The 23,119-nt window shown below is 39.1% G+C and overlaps 2 annotated features.

Annotated features, from left to right (window-relative positions):
- Positions 5,230-5,825: an enhancer, noted in NCBI's record as "NANOG-H3K27ac-H3K4me1 hESC enhancer chr8:64715092-64715687 (GRCh37/hg19 assembly coordinates)". NCBI's record gives its function as "activates a minimal SCP1, AML or CMV promoter by ChIP-STARR-seq in naive H9 embryonic stem cells {active_cell/tissue: H9 hESC(naive)}" and the evidence as "EXISTENCE:reporter gene assay evidence [ECO:0000049][PMID:30033119]".
- Positions 5,826-6,420: an enhancer, noted in NCBI's record as "NANOG-H3K27ac-H3K4me1 hESC enhancer chr8:64715688-64716282 (GRCh37/hg19 assembly coordinates)". NCBI's record gives its function as "activates a minimal SCP1, AML or CMV promoter by ChIP-STARR-seq in naive H9 embryonic stem cells {active_cell/tissue: H9 hESC(naive)}" and the evidence as "EXISTENCE:reporter gene assay evidence [ECO:0000049][PMID:30033119]".

A 23,119-nucleotide genomic window follows, 5' to 3' on the forward strand; every position in this document is an offset into this window, starting at 1 on the left:
AATGCAGAGTTAACCAATTGTTCTGAGAATATTATCAATGTGAAATGCTCATCTATTTCTAACATCCATTCCAGATTAATTTTTTCTTTTTTTTTTTTCTTTTCTTTTTTTTTTTTATTATACTTTAAGTTTTAGGGTACATGTGCACATTGTGCAGGTTAGTTACATATGTATACATGTGCCATGCTGGTGCACTGCACCCACTAACTTGTCATCTAGCATTAGGTATATCTCCCAATGCTATCCCTCCCCCCTGCCCCCACCCCACAACAGTCCCCAGAGTGTGATATTCCCCTTCCTGTGTCCATGTGATCTCATTGTTCAGTTCCCACCTATGAGTGAGAATATGCGGTGTTTGGTTTTTTGTTCTTGCGATAGTTTACTGAGAATGATGATTTCCAATTTCAGCCATGTCCCTACAAAGGACATGAACTCATCATTTTTTATGGCTGCATAGTATTCCATGGTGTATATGTGCCACATTTTCTTAATCCAGTCTATCATTGTTGGACATTTGGGTTGGTTCCAAGTCTTTGCTATTGTGAATAATGCCGCAATAAACATACGTGTGCATGTGTCTTTATAGCAGCATGATTTATAGTCATTTGGGTATATACCCAGTAATGGGATGGCTGGGTCAAATGGTATTTCTAGTTCTAGATCCCTGAGGAATCGCCACACTGACTTCCACAATGGATGAACTAGTTTACAGTCCCACCAACAGTGTAAAAGTGTTCCTATTTCTCCACATCCTCTCCAGCACCTGTTGTTTCCTGACTTTTTAATGATTGCCATTCTAACTGGTGTGAGATGGTATCTCATTGTGGTTTTGATTTGCATTTCTCTGATGGCCAGTGATGATGAGCATTTCTTCATGTGTTTTTTGGCTGCATAAATGTCTTCTTTTGAGAAGTGTCTGTTCATGTCCTTCGCCCACTTTTTGATGGGGTTGTTTGTTTTTTTCTTGTAAATTTGTTGGAGTTCATTGTAGATTCTGGATATTAGCCCTTTGTCAGATGAGTAGGTTGCGAAAATTTTCTCCCATTTTGTAGGTTGCCTGTTCACTCTGATGGTAGTTTCTTTTGCTGTGCAGAAGCTCTTTAGTTTAATTAGATCCCATTTGTCAATTTTGTCTTTTGTTGCCATTGCTTTTGGTGTTTTGGACATGAAGTCCTTGCCCATGCCTATGTCCTGAATGGTCATGCCTAGGTTTTCTTCTAGGGTTTTTATGGTTTTAGGTCTAACGTTTAAATCTTTAATCCATCTTGAATTGATTTTTGTATAAGGTGTAAGGAAGGGATCCAGTTTCAGCTTCCTACATATGGCTAGCCAGTTTTCCCAGCACCATTTATTAAATAGGGAATCCTTTCCCCATTGCTTGTTTTTCTCAGGTTTGTCAAAGATCAGATAGTTGTAGGTATGCGGCATTATTTCTGAGGGCTCTGTTCTGTTCCATTGATCTATATCTCTGTTTTGGTACCAGTACCATGCTGTTTTGGTTACTGTAGCCTTGTAGTATAGTTTGAAGTCAGGTAGTGTGATGCCTCCAGCTTTGTTCTTTTGGCTTAGGATTGACTTGGTGATGCGGGCTCTTTTTTGGTTCCATATGAACTTGAAAGTAGTTTTTTCCAATTCTGTGAAGAAAGTCATTGGTAGCTTGATGGGGATGGCATTGAATCTGTAAATTACCTTGGGCAGTATGGCCATTTTCACGATATTGATTCTTCCTACCCATGAGCATGGAATGTTCTTCCATTTGTTTGTATCCTCTTTTATTTCCTTGAGCAGTGGTTTGGAGTTCTCCTTGAAGAGGTCCTTCACATCCCTTGTAAGTTGGATTCCTAGGTATTTTATTCTCTTTGAAGCAATAGTGAATGGGAGTTCACTCATGATTTGGCTCTCTGTTTGTCTGTTGTTGGTGTATAAGAATGCTTGTGATTTTTGTACATTGATTTTGTATCCTGAGACTTTGCTGAAGTTGCTTATCAGCTTAAGGAGATTTTGGGCTGAAACAATGGGGTTTTCCAGATATACAATCATGTCGTCTGCAAACAGGGACAATTTGACTTCCTCTTTTCCTAATTGAATACCCTTTATTTGCTTCTCCTGCCTAATTGCCCTGGCCAGAACTTCCAACACTATGTTGAATAGGAGTGGTGAGAGAGGGCATCCCTGTCTTGTGCCAGTTTTCAAAGGGAATGCTTCCAGTTTTTGCCCATTCAGTATGATATTGGCTGTGGGTTTGTCATAGATAGCTCTTATTATTTTGAAATACGTCCCATCAATACCTAATTTCTTGAGAGTTTTTAGCATGAAGGGTTGTTGAATTTTGTCAAAGGCTTTTTCTGCATCTATTGAGATAATCATGTGGTTTTTGTCTTTGCCTCTGTTTATATGCTGGATTACATTTATTGATTTGCGTATATTGAACCAGCCTTGCATCCCAGGGATGAAGCCCACTTGATCATGGTGGATAAGCTTTTTGATGTGCTGCTGGATTCGTTTTGCCAGTATTTTATTGAGGATTTTTGCATCAATGTTCATCAAGGATATTGGTCTAAAATTCTCTTTTTTGGTTGTGTCTCTGCCCGGCTTTGGTATCAGAATGATGCTGGCCTCATAAAATGAGTTAGGGAGGATTCCCTCTTTTTCTATTGATTGGAATAGTTTCAGAAGGAATGGTACCAGTTCCTCCTTGTACCTCTGGTAGAATTCAGCTGTGAATCCATCTGGTCCTGGACTCTTTTTGGTTGGTAAACTATCGATTATTGCCACAATTTCAGCTCCTGTTATTGGTCTATTCAGAGATTCAACTTCTTCCTGGTTTAGTCTTGGGAGAGTGTATGTGTTGAGGAATTTATGCATTTCTTCTAGATTTTCTAGTTTATTTGCGTAGAGGTGTTTGTAGTATTCTCTGATGGTAGTTTGTATTTCTGTGGGATCGGTGGTGATATCCCCTTTATCATTTTTTATTGTGTCTATTTGATTCTTCTCTCTTTTTTTCTTTATTAGTCTTGCTAGTGGTCTATCAATTTTGTTGATCCTTTCAAAAAACCAGCTCCTGGATTCATTGATTTTTTGAAGGGTTTTTTGTGTCTCTATTTCCTTCAGTTCTGCTCTGATTTTAGTTATTTCTTGCCTTCTGCTAGCTTTTGAATGTGTTTGCTCTTGCTTTTCTAGTTCTTTTAATTGTGATGTTAGGGTGTCAATTTTGGATCTTTCCTGCTTTCTCTTGTGGGCATTTAGTGCTATAAATTTCCCTCTACACACTGCTTTGAATGCGTCCCAGAGATTCTGGTATGTTGTGTCTTTGTTCTCGTTGGTTTCAAAGAACATCTTTATTTCTGCCTTCATTTCATTATGTACCCAGTAGTCATTCAGGAGCAGGTTGTTCAGTTTCCATGTAGTTGAGCGGCTTTGAGTGAGATTCTTAATCCTGAGCTCTAGTTTGATTGCACTGTGGTCTGAGAGATAGTTTGTTATAATTTCTGTTCTTTTACATTTGCTGAGGAGAGCTTTATTTCCAACTATGTGGTCAATTTTGGAATAGCTGTGGTGTGGTGCTGAAAAAAATGTATATTCTGTTGATTTGGGTTGGAGAGTTCTGTAGATGTCTATTAGGTCCGCTTGGTGCAGAGCTGAGTTCAATTCCTGGGTATCCTTGTTGACTTTCTGTCTCGTTGATCTGTCTAATGTTGACAGTGGGGTGTTAAAGTCTCCCATTATTAATGTGTGGGAGTCTAAGTCTCTTTGTAGGTCACTCAGGACTTGCTTTATGAATCTGGGTGCTCCTGTATTGGGTGCATATATATTTAGGATAGTTAGCTCTTCTTGTTGAATTGATCCCTTTAGCATTATGTAATGGCCTTCTTTGTCTCTTTTGATCTTTGTGGGTTTAAAGTCTGTTTTATCAGAGACTAGGATTGCAACCCCTGCCTTTTTTTGTTTTCCATTTGCTTGGTAGATCTTCCTCCATCCTTTTATTTTGAGCCTATGTGTGTCTCTGCACGTGAGATGGGTTTCCTGAATACAGCACACTGATGGGTCTTGACTCTTTATCCAATTTGCCAGTCTGTGTCTTTTCATTGGAGCATTTAGTCCATTTACATTTAAAGTTAATATTGTTATGTGTGAATTTGATCCTGTCATTATGATGTTAGCTGGTGATTTTGCTCGTTAGTTGATGCAGTTTCTTCCTAGTCTCGATGGTCTTTACATTTTGGCATGATTTTGCAGCGGCTGGTACCGGTTGTTCCTTTCCATGTTTAGTGCTTCCTTCAGGAGCTCTTTTAGGGCAGGCCTGGTGGTGACAAAATCTCTCAACATTTGCTTGTCTGTAAAGTATTTTATTTCTCCTTCACTTATGAAGCTTAGTTTGGCTGGATATGAAATTCTGGGTTGAAAATTCTTTTCTTTAAGAATGTTAAATATTGGCCCCCACTCTCTTCTGGCTTGTAGGGTTTCTGATGAGAGATCCGCTGTTAGTCTGATGGGCTTCCCTTTGAGGGTAACCCGACCTTTCTCTCTGGCTGCCTTTAACATTTTTTCCTTCATTTCAACTTTGGTGAATCTGACATTATGTGTCTTGGAGTTGCTCTTCTCGAGGAGTATCTTTGTGGCGTTCTCTGTATTTCCTGAATCTGAACGTTGGCCTGCCTTGCTAGATTGGGGAAGTTCTCCTGGATAATATCCTGCAGAGTGTTTTCCAACTTGGTTCCATTCTCCCCATCACTTTCAGGTACACCAATCAGACGTAGATTTGGTCTTTTCACATAGTCCCATATTTCTTGGAGGCTTTGCTCATTTCTTTTTATTCGTTTTTCTCTAAACTTCCCTTCTCTCTTCATTTCATTCATTTCATCTTCCATTGCTGATACCCTTTCTTCCAGTTGATCGCATCAGCTCCTGAGGCTTCTGCATTCTTCACGTAGTTCTCGAGCCTTGGTTTTCAGCTCCATCAGCTCCTTTAAGCACTTCTCTGTATTGGTTATTCTAGTTATACATTCTTCTAAATTTTTTTCAAAGTTTTCAACTTCTTTGCCTTTGGTTTGAATGTCCTCCCGTAGCTCAGAGTAATTTGATCGTCTGAAGCCTTCTTCTCTCAGCTCGTCAAAGTCATTCTCCATCCAGCTTTGTTCTGTTGCTGGTGAGGAACTGCGTTCCTTTGGAGGAGGAGAGACGCTCTGCGTTTTAGAGTTTCCAGTTTTTCTGTTCTGTTTTTTCCCCATCTTTGTGGTTTTATCTACTTTTGGTCTTTGATGATGGTGATGTACAGATGGGTTTTCGGTGTGGATGTCCTTTCTGTTTGTTAGTTTTCCTTCTAACAGACAGGACCCTCAGCTGCAGGTCTGTTGGAATACCCTGCCGTGTGAGGTGTCAGTGTGCCCCTGCTGGGGGGTGCCTCCCAGTTAGGCTGCTCAGGGGTCAGGGGTCAGGGACCCACTTGAGGAGGCAGTCTGCCGGTTCTCAGATCTCCAGCTGCGTGCTGGGAGAGCCACTGCTCTCTTCAAAGCTGTCAGACAGGGACATTTAAGTCTGCAGAGGTTACTGCTGTCTTTTTGTTTGTCTGTGCCCTGCCCCCAGAGGTGGAGCCTACAGAGGCAGGCAGGCCTCCTTGAGCTGTGGTGGGCTCCACCCAGTTCGAGCTTCCAGGCTGCTTTGTTTACCTAATCAAGCCTGGGCAATGGCGGGCGCCCCTCCCCCAGCCTCACTGCCGCCTTGCAGTTTGATCTCAGACTGCTGTGCTAGCAATCAGCGAGATTCCGTGGGCGTAGGACCCTCCGAGCCAGGTGTGGGATATAATCTCGTGGTGCGCCGTTTTTTAAGTCAGTCAGAAAAGCGCAGTATTCGGGTGGGAGTGACCCGATTTTCCAGGTGCGTCCGTCACCCCTTTCTTTGACTCGGAAAGGGAACTCCCTGACCCCTTGCGCTTCCCAGGTGAGGCAATGCCTCGCCCTGCTTCGGCTCGCACACGGTGCGTGCACCCACTGGCTTGCGCCCACTGTCTGGCACTCCCTAGTGAGATGAACCCAGTACCTCAGATGGAAATGCAGAAATCACCCGTCTTCTGCGTTGCTCATGCTGGGAACTGTAGACTGGAGCTGTTCCTATTCGGCCATCTTGGCTCCTCCCTCCATTAATTTTTTCTAAAGCACAATTTTAGTTATAAATACTCCAAGTTCAAAAACTCCCAGTGGCTCACCATGTACTTAGCCTGGCATTCTTGGTGCTCCAGTTTCTGATCTTGACCTATTTCTCCAGCCTCAGTTCTCACAGTTCTACTCCTGCACTGCCTCCTGGCCTCCCACCGTCCAGACAAAGTGCATTTCTGGGGTCCCTCGGTACTGGTTTCCACAAAGAGCAAAAGTGTTCCTCTGACCTGTTTGATCTCACGGTGCTTTCAGGTTGCCTAACCCTGGATACACGATAAAAACGACTTGTAGAGGCTTTATTCTTTTGTTTTCTGGTCTTCTATTATGCAAGATTTAAACCTAAACACAGAGGTAAGGACACTAAGGATACTCGTAAGTGGGTATTTATCTTGATTCTGATGCTAGCTGGTAGAGGGATCTATACATGATCTCTGTGGATCTAAGCCTGATAACCATGGTGTCACCATACTGAATGGTACCAAATACAACTAAAGACCTTTCTTTTCCCAATAGTTGGATGATAAATGCCCATAGCTACCTAGAGTCCACCTACAGATGATAAGATCACTTCAAGAAGGCTCTTGAGAGCCATCTCTAAATTAGAAATTGAAGGTCAATTTTTCAGGTTCATTTTTCCTGTATCACATTGAAATTACTTCTTATTATTTCAGGAGACATTTCAGCTGAAAAGATGCTATAATACATTTAAGATGACAGATGTAGCCTATATAAACTGTTATTATAACTTATTTCTCAGGGTGGAATTGGAAAATAACATGACCTACTCGCAGACTACTACTCCTACATTCCATAAATTCTCCTAAGTCTCTGCAAGCCAGAAAGGACTTTGCCCTTATTCCATTAACCCAGTGATTCCAGGAGGCACAAGTACCAGAAGGTGTTCCTGGGTGCACCCTGGGCTTCAAGGCCCTTTTAAGTTGGGCCTAGACTCCTTATCTTCTGGTCAGAGTTCTCTCCAGTGTCATGAACTTTTACTATTAATGGCAACTATATTCAGTGTTATATTTATATGTGTAAGAAACAAAAGTGACAGCACAGGGGACATAAATTGGTGATGAATGAAGACTTTTAAATCAGTTTTGTTTTGGTACCTCTGGTTGTTAATGCAGAGAGCTCCCCTTTTGTTCCCCACAGTAACTGTCGTACCCTATTGAGTTATGGACACGCAGCTGAACACACTTACATGGCCTGCCTGACCTTAAGGCATTCAAATCAAAGGACACCTTTCTAGAAACTGGCAGTTTTGTTCAGTGAGTCAAATAAAAATGCAGATTTGAACATAATCCTCCTGTTAATGGGAATATCAGGAAGGTAGATATTCCTACTAGTGAGCATCAGAAAATACCAGTCTGAATAAATGTGATAGAAGGTGAGGCTATGAGTATGCAGACACACACATACACACACACACACACAATTACACTCATCTTATGGCTCTTTATTAGAAATTATTAGTAAATTAGAGATTAGTAAAAGCAGAGAGAAGAGAAAGCATTGAGGGGTAGATGTTGAATTTCTTAAAACAGTATTTCTTTATTTTATTTTATTTTATTATTATTATACTTTAAGTTTTAGGGTACATGTGCACAACATGCAGGTTTGTTGCATATGTATACATGTGCCATGTTGGTGTGCTGCACCCATTAACTCGTCATTTAGCATTAGGTGTATCTCCTAGTGCTATCCCTCTCCCTCCCCCCACCCCACAACAGTCCCCTTCCTGTGTCCATGTGTTCTACCCATCAGTGTGCTGTATTCAGGAAACTCATCTCAAGTGCAGAGACACACATAGGCTCAAAGTAAAGGGATGGAGGAAGATCTACCAAGCAAATGGAAAACAAAAAAAGGCAGGGGTTGCAATCCTAGTCTCTGATAAAACAGACTTTAAACCAACAAAGATGAAAAGAGACAAAGAAGGCCATTAAAACAGATTTCTAATGTGAATATTGAATAAAAGTTGTTTATGTCTTGGCCATGTTGTTCACCAAAACTTCGGTCAAATCTATCTTAAAAAAAATACATTCTGGGAAGGGTGGGGTGAGAATCTCTTCTATAAACTGAAGAACATGGTGACATTTCATTTACAGGTTGAAAAGGTATGGAACAGAGATGGTGCCAAAGGATGGAATGATCACCTGCAAAGTGGACTAATTCAGCAGAAGCAGTCCTTTAGAGACACGGGTGACCTGAGAAAGTAAGCACCAACCCTCCACCCTACACCTGGAAATTCTCATCAACACTTTGAGTACAAAGGACCTCTATGAACTGTGAATCCGATGTTTCTATCTTAAGAGGCAGAAAAACCTCAGCTGGCATGTAGGTAAGCCATCCTCTCCAGTAGTGGTTCTCAATGGGGACAGTACGGTTCACTAGGGAGTATTTTTTAAATTTATGGGGGACTATTATTCATAGCATTGGAGTGTGCTGTGGGTGTTTAGTAGGAAGGAGCCAGGATAGTCCTGTAAAAAGAATTGTTCTCAGCCTCATAATTTTCAGAAGTCTCACTGGACATTCAAATAGGACCAACCAATACAGAAATTTATATAATTATTTATTACATTAATATTATCTATTATGCTTATATAAATATATAGACATATATCTAATTCAAGAACCTAAACCATTTAACATATAAACAGAATGTATTGGAACCATTTAAAACCATTACATTTCTAGAATGTGACTATTCTATAAATAGAAGGAAAAACTTCTTTGTTTTAAATGGAGCTTTACTAAGACTTGTTTGACATTTCAGAACATCGTGTCCCTTGTAAGAGTGCCACTTGTGAAATTTGACCACTAATGCAATAATCCATATCAGTCTTTACAAGGTGCTTCTACCTCTAGCTACAAGCATCTGACTGCTTTACCATGTCTTCTAGTGTCATATTACTGTAGCACAATATTGATTGCACAATAGCTATTGATTATTGCTATTTATAAATATCAACCACCATATTTGCATCATTAAAATTATCCCCCAATATGAAGATACAATATTAATAATATCAGGCTGCTCTCAATTGATAAGATCAACTGAGAAATAGATTTTATCACCAAAGTTTAACTGAAATACAGTTACTTAGCACTTAGAATTTATTTTCCTACAGCTTCCTGTGCTGATTTTAGAAGTCTTGGAGGGATCCAGTGACAGGTTGTATAGAAAATCCTACAGGAAAAAATTTCCTTAAGCTTTGAAAGAATGGAATAGTTATAGATTTTAGAGTTGGAACTGAAACTATTATTAGGGCCTATGGTCTCTATAAGATCCAGTGTAGAGTTCATCCTACTCACTGTTGAGATTTTTCCTATTCCCTTTTCTAGAAAAGAAATTTTTTCCCTTGACTTTGCTCTTATTCTCTTTACCTTAATTCCTACTGCCCTTTTATTTTGCATTTCTTCTCTATCCATCACTTTAAATATTGCTGTACAAAAAATTCTGCCCCAGGATCTAGCAATCTCACTTCTGGGTATATATTCAAAGGACATGAAATCACTAAGTTGAAGACATATCTCTGCTTCCATATTTATTGCAGCATTATTTACAATAGCCAAGTTATATGATCAACTTAAGTGTCAACTAATGGGTGAATGGATAAAGAAAATGTGGTATGTCTACACAACACAATAATATTCAGCCTTCAAAATGAAGGGAATTCTGTCATTTGGGTCAACATGGATAAGCCAGGAGAAAATTACTCTAAGTGAAACAAACCAGTCACAGAAAGACAAATACTGTATGACCTCACTTATATGTATAAAATTTTTAAAAAGCAAACTCACAGAAGAAGAGTAGAATGATGGTTAGCAGAGGCTGGGGGGAGGGAAAATGAGGGAATGATGGCTAAAAAGTACAAAGTTGCAGTTAGACATATGGAATAAATAAGTATTTAAGGTGCTGGATATGGTACTTGATTCAGTCTTTGCACACTATACATATATCTCTCTATATAATAACATCACTTTGTACCCCATAAATATGTACAATTACAATTTGTCAATAAAAATTTAATTAAAGCAATTCTGTCCTAGACGCCCTTTTCTTCTTGTACTCTTAATGCTGTAACGATGATTAGAATTGAGATACATGCTGCTACCACCCACTTTCTACCCATTATGGAAGCTGCCAAACATGTATTGTTTTTCACTGAACCTGGAAGTAAATTCAAACCCAGCACGGCTTTCAGGTAGGCACTACCAATTTGCTTGAATTAATACACAAGATGAGCATTTAGTTTCTTATTGATGACAGCTACTGAGGACATAAAAGTCTATGTTTTCATCTTGGCTTCAGATTCAGCTACTAATTGAAAATGATCACCAGGCTTTACAATATGTTTAAAGCAATCTTTAACCCTATGCTCTAAATCAAATAACTATGTAAACCAGAAAACTTGAAGTCATTTTTATCCTTCTCTTTCCCTCTTCACCAATACCTAAGTTTATCCCCCTTTTAATTTTACTTCAGAAGGATGTCTAAAATTTGCTTGGATTCTTCATTCTACTTCATAACCACTGAGTCTATTTAGAGAGCAGCATCCTCTCTCATAGACTATTACAAGAGTCCTCTGACAGTATTTTTAACACTTTAATTTCTCCACCCACCACATCCAATCCTACAAACTGCCAACAGGATACGATAATTTTCATTAATAAAACAATGAAAACCAAACAACAACAAATATGGTCCAATTAATATTTTTATTTAAATCTCTGTTGGTAACTTGTTGCCTTATCATACATACAATGTATTGAATTCCTTCCAATACAGCAACACTGTTTTTCTTTCCTTTTTTTTTGTCACATTTCTCCCATGCTCCTACCCTTATACATTTTCATCTTGATGTTCTATATATACTCGTTTGTCTAACTGTCATATCCTCCCCACCTGGGGAACTTCCCTTGTTCAGGCCCATGGCCATACTACAGTGCTGGTATGTTCCCAAATGCTCTATTTTTACTTGCAATCATTCCTCGTCCTGGGAATTCAGGCTTTTTTTTTTTCTTCTCTAAAACTTGCATCACACAATTCATTCCATATGATAAATCCAGTCTTCTTCCTTGGCTCCTTCCCTTGGCTGAGTATGGAGCCAGCCACAAAGCATTCATTTCCATAACCCCTTCTGAGCCCTATAACACATTCAGAGGCTTTCCTTGCAATTATAAGGCTTCTCCCGTCCCTAACTGCATTTGATACGGTAATAAAGAAGGAGATTGAGGCAAGAATGACCTCTTAGTCTGTAGCATGGGTGACTGAATAAATGGTCATGGAAACCAACTGAGATAGAGAATATTTGGAGGAAAAGCTAATGAGTCAAATTTGGACATGATAAATTCAAAGTGCTGTTGGGATACTCATCGGAGTTGTTCAGTAAATTCTTAGATATACAGAGATGCAGCTAAGAAGAAAATCTATCCTGAGGACTGCACTGATAACAGGCCTTCAAATCTGCCTATTCATAATGCTGCTAACATGATACAGTTCTAAAACACAAATTTAAATAACATCTAAAATTTGTCGATTTCTATGCATAGTTTTCAGGATGAAATCACACACTGTCACTCTGAAGAACCTACCCTGCAGGGATTTGTTATTGTAATAATTCTGCTAAAGTTCAGCTTTCAATAATAACAAATTATCAACTATTTGCCAGGAGATAACAATTATTAAACTCTAGACAAAATATTTTAAAAACAACTATTTGAAGGCACTGGAAATGTGAAAAATAAATTATGTTACGTATGGTTCCCTACATACAACTCTTCAACATGCAAACTAATCTGTAGTGACAGGAAGACCAGTGGTTACCTGAAGAGGGTGGGCAGGTAAGTGGGGTAGGGATGAAATATAAAGTGGTACTCAGACATTTTGGGTGTGATGGTTAGTTTCACTGTCTTGATTATAGTGATGATTTCGTGGATATATGCATATGTCAAAACTTGTCACATGGTACACTTTAAGTATGTGCTCTTTATGGTGTTTCAATAATACCTTACTGAAGTTGTTTACAAAAAAAAGTTATTGGCCTCATATACCCAGATATTTTGCAAGTCAATAAGCAAAATATCTCAATAACAAAAGATTTCACAAGATTGTTGCAAATTAACACAAGCATAGTGGCTTAAGACAATGCATATGTATTTCTTACAGTAATGGAGGTCAATGTCCAAAATCAGTCTCAGTGAGCTAAAGTAGAAGTGCTGACAGGGCTGGTTTCTTTCTGAGGCTCTGAGGGGATTTCTTATCTTTTTCAGCTTCTTGTGGCCACCTGTCTCCTTGGTTTGTACCTCCCTTCTCCATCTTCGAAGTGCATCCCTCTCCTCTCAGCTTCCATCATCACATCACCTCTTCCTCTAACTCTCACACCATCTATGCCCCTCTTTTCAGACCACTGTGATTATGTTAGTCCCAACAAGATCTCAGACCCTTTAATTTGGTCACATCCATAGAATCCCTTTTGCTGTAACACTTGCAAGTTCCAGAGATTAGGTCATGAACATATTTATGGGGCCATTATTCAGGCTGTTATACAAGGGAAGGAAAAAAACTTACGAATAGTGGACATGGAAGGTGTTCTTCCTCACTGGTACTCCAATAAATATACATTAAAATTAGATGACATTTGTCCTTTAGCAGATAAATGAAGCTTTGAAAATTATAAAACCTGGTGCTGGCAACATTACAGGAAAACAAGTAATCCTATACACAGAATGAAAGACATCCAAGACAAGTAATCTTTAATATTATTGCTTATATCTTGCTAGCAAAATTATGGGTAATCTTAGTTTTCTTCTATGTTCTTGAAGTATTTTCAAAATTTATTATTTGAAAAACTGAAAGAGAGACAAAAGATTTTTCTTAAATGCCATGCCTTCCAACCCACAAATTGGCTATATTTGTCAGGGCTCTCCAGAAAAACAAAATCAACATATTGGAGAGATATAGATATAGATATTATATTAGTCCATTTTCATACTACTATAAAGAATTGCCCAAGACTCTGTAATTTATAAAGGAAAGAGGTTTAATTGGCTTACAGTTCAGCATGGCTGGGGAGGCCTCAAGAAACTTACAATTAAGACAGAAGGTGAATTGGAAGCAAGGCACCTTCTTCACAAGGCAGCAAGAAAAAGAAGTGTCATGTGAGGGGGAAAGGGCCCCTTTTAAAGCCATCAGCTCTCATGAGAACTCATTCACTATCATGAGAACAGCATGGGGGAAACTGCACCCATGATTCAATTATCTCCACCTGGTCTCTCCCCTGACACATGAGGATTATGGGGATTATGGTGATTACAATTCAAGATGAGATTTTGGTGGAGACACAAAGCCTAACCATATTAGATATAGATATGTAAGAGGAGATTTATAGTGGGAATTGGCTCATGCAATTATGAAGGCAGAGAAGTTCTACAATATACAACATGCTGTCAACAAGGTGAAGAACAGGGAAGCTGGTGGTATATTTCAGTCTGAGTCTAAAGGCCTGAGAAGCAGTGGAGTTGATAGTATAATTTTCAGTCTGAAGCTAACGGCCTGAGGAACTGTGGGCTGTTGGTATGAGTGCTACAGTTCAAAGGCCAGAGAACCTAGAGTTCTGACACCTGAAGACAGAAGGAGATGAATGTCCCAGTGCCAAAAACGATGGAGACAGAGTGACTTCATCCTTCCTCTGCTTTTTTGTTCTATTCTAGCTCTCAATGGATTAGATGATGCCTGCCCACACCGGTGAGGTCAAATCTTCCTTACTCAGTCCAGCGATTCAAATGCTAATCTCTTCTGAAAACACCTTCATAGGCACATTCAGAAATAATGTTTTATCAGCTATCTCAGTGTCTGTTAACCCAGCCAAGTTGACACTTACAATTAACCATCATACTAGGCTGCTTGAGCATCAGTATTCTATTCTTTGAGACTTAACCAGAATGTATACACAGCTGTCCACTGAAATCTTGAAGTTGATGTTCCAGTTCAGATAATCAGTAAACTTTGTAATTGTTATGGATGTCACATATTTTATGAGAGTTCAAATTATATAACTGTGTATATAGATAAGAATATGGCTCTTCAGAAACATAAACATCCTCCTTTCAAATTTTAAATTATTTATAAATTATTCCACTAGTCTTTAAGTGTAAATGAAGAAAATCTCTACGATTTCAATTTTTTAAAAGAAGTAACCTCTCAGAAAGCAAAAATGAGATCAGACTCTATATTAAAAGTTATCAAAATGAGAGTAAAATAAAAAAGAAGCCAAATATTTTATGAAGTATTTAGAATTATTAAATGCCTCCCTTGAACACCATCCAGATTTATTTGACTTTGAAAAATGTTCATAGATCTACCAGAGTCACAAGGTCTTGGGATGCTGGATAATCTTGTCACAAGGCCTCTACACTGGCCTGAAAGGATTTTAGCCCATGTTGGAAGTTTTCTACTACAGATAACTTTCAAAAATTCATTACATTTTGCTTTTCTTCATTTAAATTTCATACAGAGTGAAGGCTACTTTCAGGAAACTTTTCTAAGCAACCCTTTGAAGCATTACATTTCCCAACTTATTAAAGGATAATAAAGGAGATATTTGTTTATTCATTCAATAAATATTGAGTACCTCTGTGGCAAAGACTGTACTTATACTGAAAAAAAGTCATTACCAGAATAGTTTGAAGCATTATATCTTTGAAACTTTGGTTACTGGATTAGTAGCTATCATTCTCTAAAGTTTATTGTGATGAGGGCAAAGTTTCACAGTAGTAAATCTTAGAGGTTGTAGCCATAACTTTTCTTTCTGTGTGTAGCATTGTCATGTCTGTAATGATATTTATTACATTTGGCTTAAAGCCATTCAGTGGCTGTTTTTCTGCCCAATTACAAATTCATCATTGTCATTGCTAGTCATCTGGACGTGTGCATCTCCCATAATTGTTCCCATTTTATAACATGGCACAGCCCATCTTCAGGGATTCAGTCTTACGTGATAGAATGGTTTTCTTTCACAAGTTAAAAGTCATGAGCCAGTTAAGTACTGTTTCTTGATTTTCAAAAAAGCTGACAGTGTTATCCATTACTGTTTCAACTAATATGACCTCAATTTCTTAGCCCCTCAAACCTTTCTCAAAATCAGAAAACTAAACTCCAGAAAGGAAATATGCAATGAGGGTGTTTTATGTTGTAGGTTTTTAGGTTGGTTGGAAATCATTTCAACTCGAATGGAAAACAATGGTCATTTCAAGGGGAATTCATATTAAGACATCCATAAACCAAAATCTCAAAGACTGGTTTTGCTTTGTAATCATGATTTGATATGGTTTTTCATCACTGGTTAGAGCAGTCAGAGATAACACTGATTGTGGGTCCACAATGTCTGTAGGTGGAAGCCATATTCTGGGTAGAAAGTGGATTCACAGTGGAGGCATTGAGCACCAACCCTCCTCACTCATTCTACCAAATCTGTCTATGGGGATTTAGGTCTCAGGACTCATTGATTGGAAACTGTGTTGCCTAAAGAGACCTGGAAGATAATAATAAGAAAGTCTAGATAAGTTTTGCCCTCTAGGGCTTTCTATGAAGGGAAAAATCTAATAGTCATTTCTGGAGTAAACTAATGCTGTGAGCTTTCTTCTTGGAGCCAGCAGTTTAAATCCTTTTCCATCTGCAATAATCTCAGAATGTTGGCCTGATTTCCTTCCCTTGATTTCTAAGCATGGCATTATCACCATCATTTCTTTCCATTAAAATAAATAATAAAGCCTTTCAGAAGGTGACTATGCCAGGTAAACAACAAGCTCTGAAGCCAAAATATCCTGAAAGGATGTAATTTAATACATTTGCAGTAAAGTCTGACAAATGCTTGCTCTTAAACTTGTTAGTTATTATACTGAAGGTGTGTAAGATTTGTATAAATTACCGAGTTGCTGTAATTCCAACAAGTTAAACCATTTATTTTAGTTTTCTAGGAGGAGAAGGGAACGCTGGAAAGATGTTTTGTTTCGCAGAAGCCTGCCTGTACTGAGTCTTCTGAATTCCATATGGAGTTCTCTGAATTCCCAGACACCCTGTCTTTGGCAGAACCCAACTGCTGAGACTGACAGTAGCCACCTGAGCATATTGTATGTTGTAAGTGATTCAACCTCAAGCGCATGACTGGCTGGGCTTAAGGTAAAATGTGATCCCTTTCCTATGCTTTGAAAGATTCTTTGGCCATATGGCAGGACAAAAAGAAACTCAAAGAGGATCTGCTAAGCCCTCAAGTGATAAGGTGCAAGAAAAAGAGGAACCCAAACTTTCTGAGGCAATGGAGGAGGTTGAACAATATCAACTCTCCTTTTGCCACCTCTTTCAAATACATATTCCAAAACAGGCCAGAGCTTGTGTTAGTCTAGGATAGTCACAACCATCCAGTTATCTTTCAGGGTTTCATCTTCCCTCTAACTATGATAAAATATAAAGAACAAGGCCCATACGCATGTCTTTGTTTCTTTCTATGTATTTTGGCTGACCTTAGCAATTGACCATACCAGCAATACCTGTTGCAGCTTAAGGAGAAAGTTCTTGCATCTCCCATTTTCTCCCCCAAACCTGAAATTCCTGTATTAAGGATTTATTTGAATTAACAAATAGAAATTATAATAATAATTAAAAAGACATACCTTTTATGTGAATTCATTGAATCACATTGATTTCCTTATTGTTTGTAGGAGGAAAGAAATATGAACAACTTTTGCCAACTATAAAATAAGATTACATATAACTACCTAGCATGATGAAAGACAGTATTACATGAGATTATGTATGGAAAATTTCAGACCCTGCTGGTATATTGTATATACTCAAAATGTAATAGCTGTTTTGGGGAACTCCTATTAGTTAGTAAAAGACAGCTAGAACCAGGAGGTGTAGTTGACTCTTCCTTAGGGTTGTTATTTAGTGTTCAGATATTTTTAAGTTTTAAATTTATATTAAAATTATGAATAGCTATTTATTTATAGACAGCTTCTTTCTGGGTGACTTGTTTGGGCAGAAATAAAAAGAGGGCATTCAACAAGGATGAGATGGGATCCTAGGGTTGAGAAATCAGGTAAATCTTCATAGACAAAACAGGCAAAGGAAAACTCTTGTTCATTCATCAACGGGGAAAAATAAGAAAATGACGATTTGATAGCTATTCCACCCTTAAGAGTCAAACAAGCCTTGAGCCCCATGCTGAGCTCAGAGGCGAACAAGACTCAAGTACAGGGGACTATGGGGTTTGAGGCTTCAGGAAAACCAAAAGGTAATATGGAAGGGATCTCTGATCTTATGGCAGGGGTTGTTTATCTCTTGCCAGATTTGATCATCTCTTTTGCATGATCCTCCCACAGGTCAGTGGTGGAGTTTGAAGAGAGGGTGGCCAGAGGGCCACTCTGATTTTGGAAGAGCAGAAATAGAGGGAATAGAATTATGAGGAGGCCCTTGCATTGATACAGATGTGTTAGCATTCACCACTTCTCAAACATAGCAGATTATTTGGGAAATTGAACTACATTTCTCACCACTTAATAATTCAAGAAGTGGTTACTCGAGGCACCAGGAGGACTGAATCCTTCACATGTTATGTTAACATCATCACAGAAGCTCATGTTATCATAGGAACTAGACAAAATAAGAAAACTTATTTAGCATCTTTAATTTTCCTTGTGAATTCTTCATTTGTGATACGAGAAGAAAATCAGGTCACTTGAAGGAAATGATTTAATCCTAAAAAAGAGCCACTTAACAGGCATATATTATCACCATTCAATAGAAATTAATAAAGTGTTAGTGTTTACAACATTTCTCAGTATATGCAAATGGAAGTGGGATTCATTTTAATTGGAATTTGCATTGCATTAGAATTTTCATCCATATCTGAAAAGTATCATCAGTAGAAAAGTGTGTGTGTATATGTGTGTACATCTATCTATCTATCTATCTATCTATCTATCTATCTATCTGTCTGTCTGTCTGTCTATCTATCTATCTATCTAGCTATCTATAGTGAGAGAGAGAGAGAGAATATCCCTGGACTTCCCATTCCCAGTTTGAGTATCAGCAAGTGCATATTAACTTAATTACCAAATCTGGCTTGCTTGTGGCCCATGTCTATGTGACTATAGAACATCAACACTCCTATTAAATTCACACTAGTTATTTCTGGGAGTAGCCAGGATACATTACATGAATTGCCTCCTTTCATTTTGATGTTCTTAGTGAAGTCCACTGACTGGAAGTCATTTGGGAAGTACAACCATGCTGGCTCTGTGGTCCCTGGTCTCCCCAGCCTGCTGCTGTCCTGGGAGGGCTCCTTGTAGATTCTCCACTTGATGCTATTGAATTCTAGGGAGAGATGGAGAGAATCCTCATTCCCACTTCTAGGACTTCACTAATCACTGGGGCTCTAAAACTGCTTTGTTGTGTCCTAAATCACAAGATTCCTTATTCAAACAGCTCTTTTATCTTCTGTTTTCAGATAGCTCTTTTTGCTTTATATAGTGACTTAGAAATAATTTTACTGGCTGGATGGAAACCATTTTCCCAAATAAAAGTGTGTCTACTTTTTAAAATCTTCCTAAATCTGCCCCAGGTATTAGGTACTAACAGTTTCCTTTCAGATTATCCCTCACCTATTATAACTCAGGCAATCTTGGTTTAGGCTCAGCTTAGCTACCTCACTACATTCACACCTATTCCTTGAGGATTCACATTAAATTAGCTTTCAGGTGTTGTGAATACGAACTGCAGAGTCCCACAGGAAATTCACTGAACAAGTTATCAGGAGAATACGGGTTTTCACTTCACCTAATTAGAAAGTTGCTGTATGATCAAAGACTGACTATTTTATCTCTCTGGGCTTCAGTTTCCTTATGTATAAAATGAAAGATTTGGTCTCAATCTATGGTTTTTAAACTATTTGGTGATCAGAGATCATTTTCAGAATCCAATGATGATACTGAATCTCATTCTGAAAAATCCAAATATACATGCTATGAACTGTATTAGTCCGTTTTCATGCTTCTATGAGGAACTGTCTGAGACTGAGTAATTCATAAAGGGTTTTAATTGACTTACAGTTCAGCATGGTTGGGGAGGCCTCAAGAAACTTACAATCATGGCAGAAGGTGAAGCGGAATCAAGGCACGTTCTTCACAGGGTGGCAGGAAGGAGAAGGGCCAACTGAAGGGGAAAGATCCCTTTATAAAACCATCAGATCTTGTAAGAACTCATTCACTATCTTGAGAACAACACTGGGGAAACCTCCCTTATGAGCCAATTACCTCCACCTGATCTTTTCCTTGACACATGGGCATTATGGGAATTATGGGAATTATAATTCAAGATGAGATTTGGGTGGGAACACAAAGTCTAACCGCATCATTCCACCCCTAGCCCCTCCCAAATCTCATGTCCCTTTCACATTTCAAAACCAATCATGCCTTCCCAACAGTCTTCCAAAATCTTAATTTATTCCAGCATTCACCCAAAAGTCCAAGTCCAATGTCTTATCTGAGACAAGGCTAGTTTCTTCTGCCTATAAGCCAGTAAAATCAAAAGCAAATTAATTACTTCCTAGATAAAATGGGGATATAGGCATTGCATAAATACACCCATTCAAATGGGAGAAATTGTCCAAAACAAAGGGGCTATAGGCCCCATGCAAGTCTGAAATCCAGTGGGGAAATCAAATCTTAAAGCTCTGAAATTATCTTCTTTGACTTCATGTCTCATATTCAGGTCATACTGATGCAAGAGGTGGGTTCCCATGGTCTTGAGCAGCTCCACCCCTGTGGTTTTGTAGGGAAGAATCCCCCCTCCTGGCTGCTTTCATGGGCTGGCATTGAGTGTCTGTGGCTTTTCCCGGCACATGGTGCAAGCTGTTGGTGGATCGACCATTATGGTGTCTGGAGGATGGTGGTTCTCTTCTCACAGCTCCAGTAGGCTGTGACCCAGTGTGGACTCTGTATGGGGGATCTAACCCCATATTTCCCCTTCTGCACTGTCCCAGCAGAGGTTCTCCATGAGGGCTCCACCCCTGCAGCAAACTTCTGCCTGGACATCCAGTCATTTCTGTACCTCCACTGAGATTTAAGTGGAGGTTCCCAAACCTCAATTGACTTCTGTGCACCCACAGGCCCAACACTACATGTAAGCCACTAAGGCTTGGGGCTTGCACCCTCTGAAGCAATGGCCTGAGCTGTATGTTGGCCCCTTTAGCCACAGCTGGGATGCAGGATATCAAGTCCCAAGACTGGACAAAGCAGCAAGGCCCTAGGCCTGGCCCAGGAAACCATTTTTTCTTCCTAGGCCTCTGGACCTGTGATAGGAGAGGCTGCTGTGAAATCCTCTGACATACCCTGGAGACATTTTCTTCATTGTCTTGGAGATGAACATTTGGCTTCTCATTACTTATGTAAATTTCTGCAGCAGGCTTGAATTTCTTCTCAGAAAATGGGTTTTTCTTTTCTAGCATATCATCATACTGTGAATTTCCCGAACTTTAATGCTCTGCTTCCCTTTTAAACATAGGTTCCAATTCCAAACCATCTCTTTGTGAATGCATAAAGCTGAAAGCTTTTAAGAGCACCCAAGTCATGTTTTGAATGTTTTGTTGCTTAGAAATTTCTTCCACCAGATACTCTAAATCATCTCTCTCAAGTTCAAATTCCACAGACCTCTAGGGCAGGGACAAAATGCCACAAGTCTCTTTGCTGAAGTATAGCAAGAGTAACCTCTATTCCAGTTCCCAACAAGTTCCTCATCTCCATCTGAAACCACTTCAGTCTGGACTTTATTGACCATATCACTATCAGCATTTTGGTCTAAGCCATTCAACAAGTCTCTAGGAAGTTCCAAACTTTCCCACATCTTTCTGTCTTCATCTGAGCCCTCCAAACCTCTGCCTGTTACCCAGTTCCAAAGTCACTTCCACATTTTTGGGTATCTTTACAGCAGCACCCCACTATCTGTGCTACCAATTTACTGTATTACTCTGTTTTCACACTGCTATAGAGAACTGCCTGAGACTGGGTAATTTAAAAAGGAAGAAGGTTTAATTGACTGATAGTTCAGCATGGCTGGGGAGGTCTCAGAAAACTTACAACCATAGAGGAAAGCAAAGGTGAAGCAAGACACCTTCTTCACAGGATGGCAGGAAGGAGAAGTGCTGAGTGAAGAGGGAAGAGCTGTAACCTCCCAATGGGTTCGCCTTGCCCTCCAAAGGAATTGCAATGGGGAAAGAGTAATTCACGCAGATCCACCTGTGCAGGAGACCAAAGTTTTATTATTACTAAAGTCAGTCTTCCCGAGCATTTGGGGATCAGAGTTTTTAAAGCTAATTTGTAGGGTGGGGGCTTGGAAGGTGTGGAGTGCTGATTGGTCAGGTTGGAGATGAAATTATACAGGGTCGAAGTGAATTTTTCTTGCTGTCTTCTGTTCCTGGGTGGGATGGCAAAACTGGTTGAGCCAGATTACCAGTCTGGGTGGTGTCAGCTGATCCATCAAGTGCAAGGTCTGCAAAATATCTCAAGCGCTGATCTTCAGTTTTACAGTAGTGATGTTATCCCCAGGAGCAATTTGCGAAGGTTCAGACTCTTGGAGCCAGAGGCTGCATGACACCTAAACTGTAATTTCTAATCTTGTAGCTAGTTTGTTAGTCCTGCAAAGCCAGACTGGTCCCCAGGCAAGAAGGGCGTCGTTTTGGGAAAGAGCTGTTATCAATTTTGTTTCAGAATCAAACCATAAACTGGATTCTTTCCTAAAGTTAGTTTGGCCTATGCCCAGGAATGAATAAGGATAGCTTAAAAGTTAGAAGCAAGATGGAGTCAATTAGGTCTGGTTACATTCACTGTCATAATTTCCTCAGCTATAATTTTGCAAAGCCAGTTTCAGAGCCCCTTATAAAACCATCAGATCTCGTGAGAACTCACCCACTATCATGAGAACCTCATGGGCAAAACCACCCTCATGAGTCATTTACCTCCACCTGGTCTCTCCCTTGACACATGGGGATTATAATTCAAGATGAGATTTGGGTGGGGACACAAAGCCTAATCATATCATGGACTAAACAGTGTTCCACCAAAAATGTATATGTTGAAGCCCTCAGCCCAATGTTACTGTATTTGGAAATAGGGCTTTTAAAGAGGTAATTAAGGATGAATGGGCTCCTAAAGGTGGGTTCCCAATCCAATAGGGCAGGGGTCCTTAGAAGAAGAAGAAGAGACACTAGGGGTATACACAGAGAAAAGTCCATGTGTGAACACAGTGAGAAGGTGGCCATCTGCAAGCCAAGATGAGCAGCCTCAGAAGACACCAACTCTACAGGAATTTGATCTTAGACTTCCAGCCCCCAGAACTGTGAGAAAATAAATTTCTGTTGTTTACATCCCCCAGTATGTGGAATTTTGTTATGGAAGCTCTAGCTGAGTAATACAAAACACATAGAAAAGAATATTTGCAAGCAATTTTTGGTTGCTCATGGACTTCATGAAATCCACCCTTAAAGGTCAGGACCTTCAAGATTATACATCTTCTAAAAAAAGGATACATTTTTTTTTTCTAAAAAGTACTGACTATATGAATAGTAGCTGGAAATATTTGACTTCTTATTTCACATATGTTCTTTGAAAATATAGTGAGTCGGTTAAGATCATTAAAAAGGTGTATTTGTTTTAAGCAAGACGGCTCAAAAGAAAATGGACCATCAAAAGTTGAGTACACAAGAAATATACAAAACATTGTTTAGAAATGTGCCTAGAGACGTTTAAGCTAGTTTTGTCTCTTTATATATATGTGTGTGTATATATATATGAAACATATATATATGAAATACATATGTGATATATAGAAATATATATGAAACCTATATATGAGAAACATATATATGAAACCTATATATGAGAAACATATATATGAAACCTATGTATGA

This window comes from Homo sapiens, chromosome 8 (genome assembly GCF_000001405.40).
Source record: "Homo sapiens chromosome 8, GRCh38.p14 Primary Assembly".
Taxonomy (NCBI): domain Eukaryota; kingdom Metazoa; phylum Chordata; class Mammalia; order Primates; family Hominidae; genus Homo; species Homo sapiens.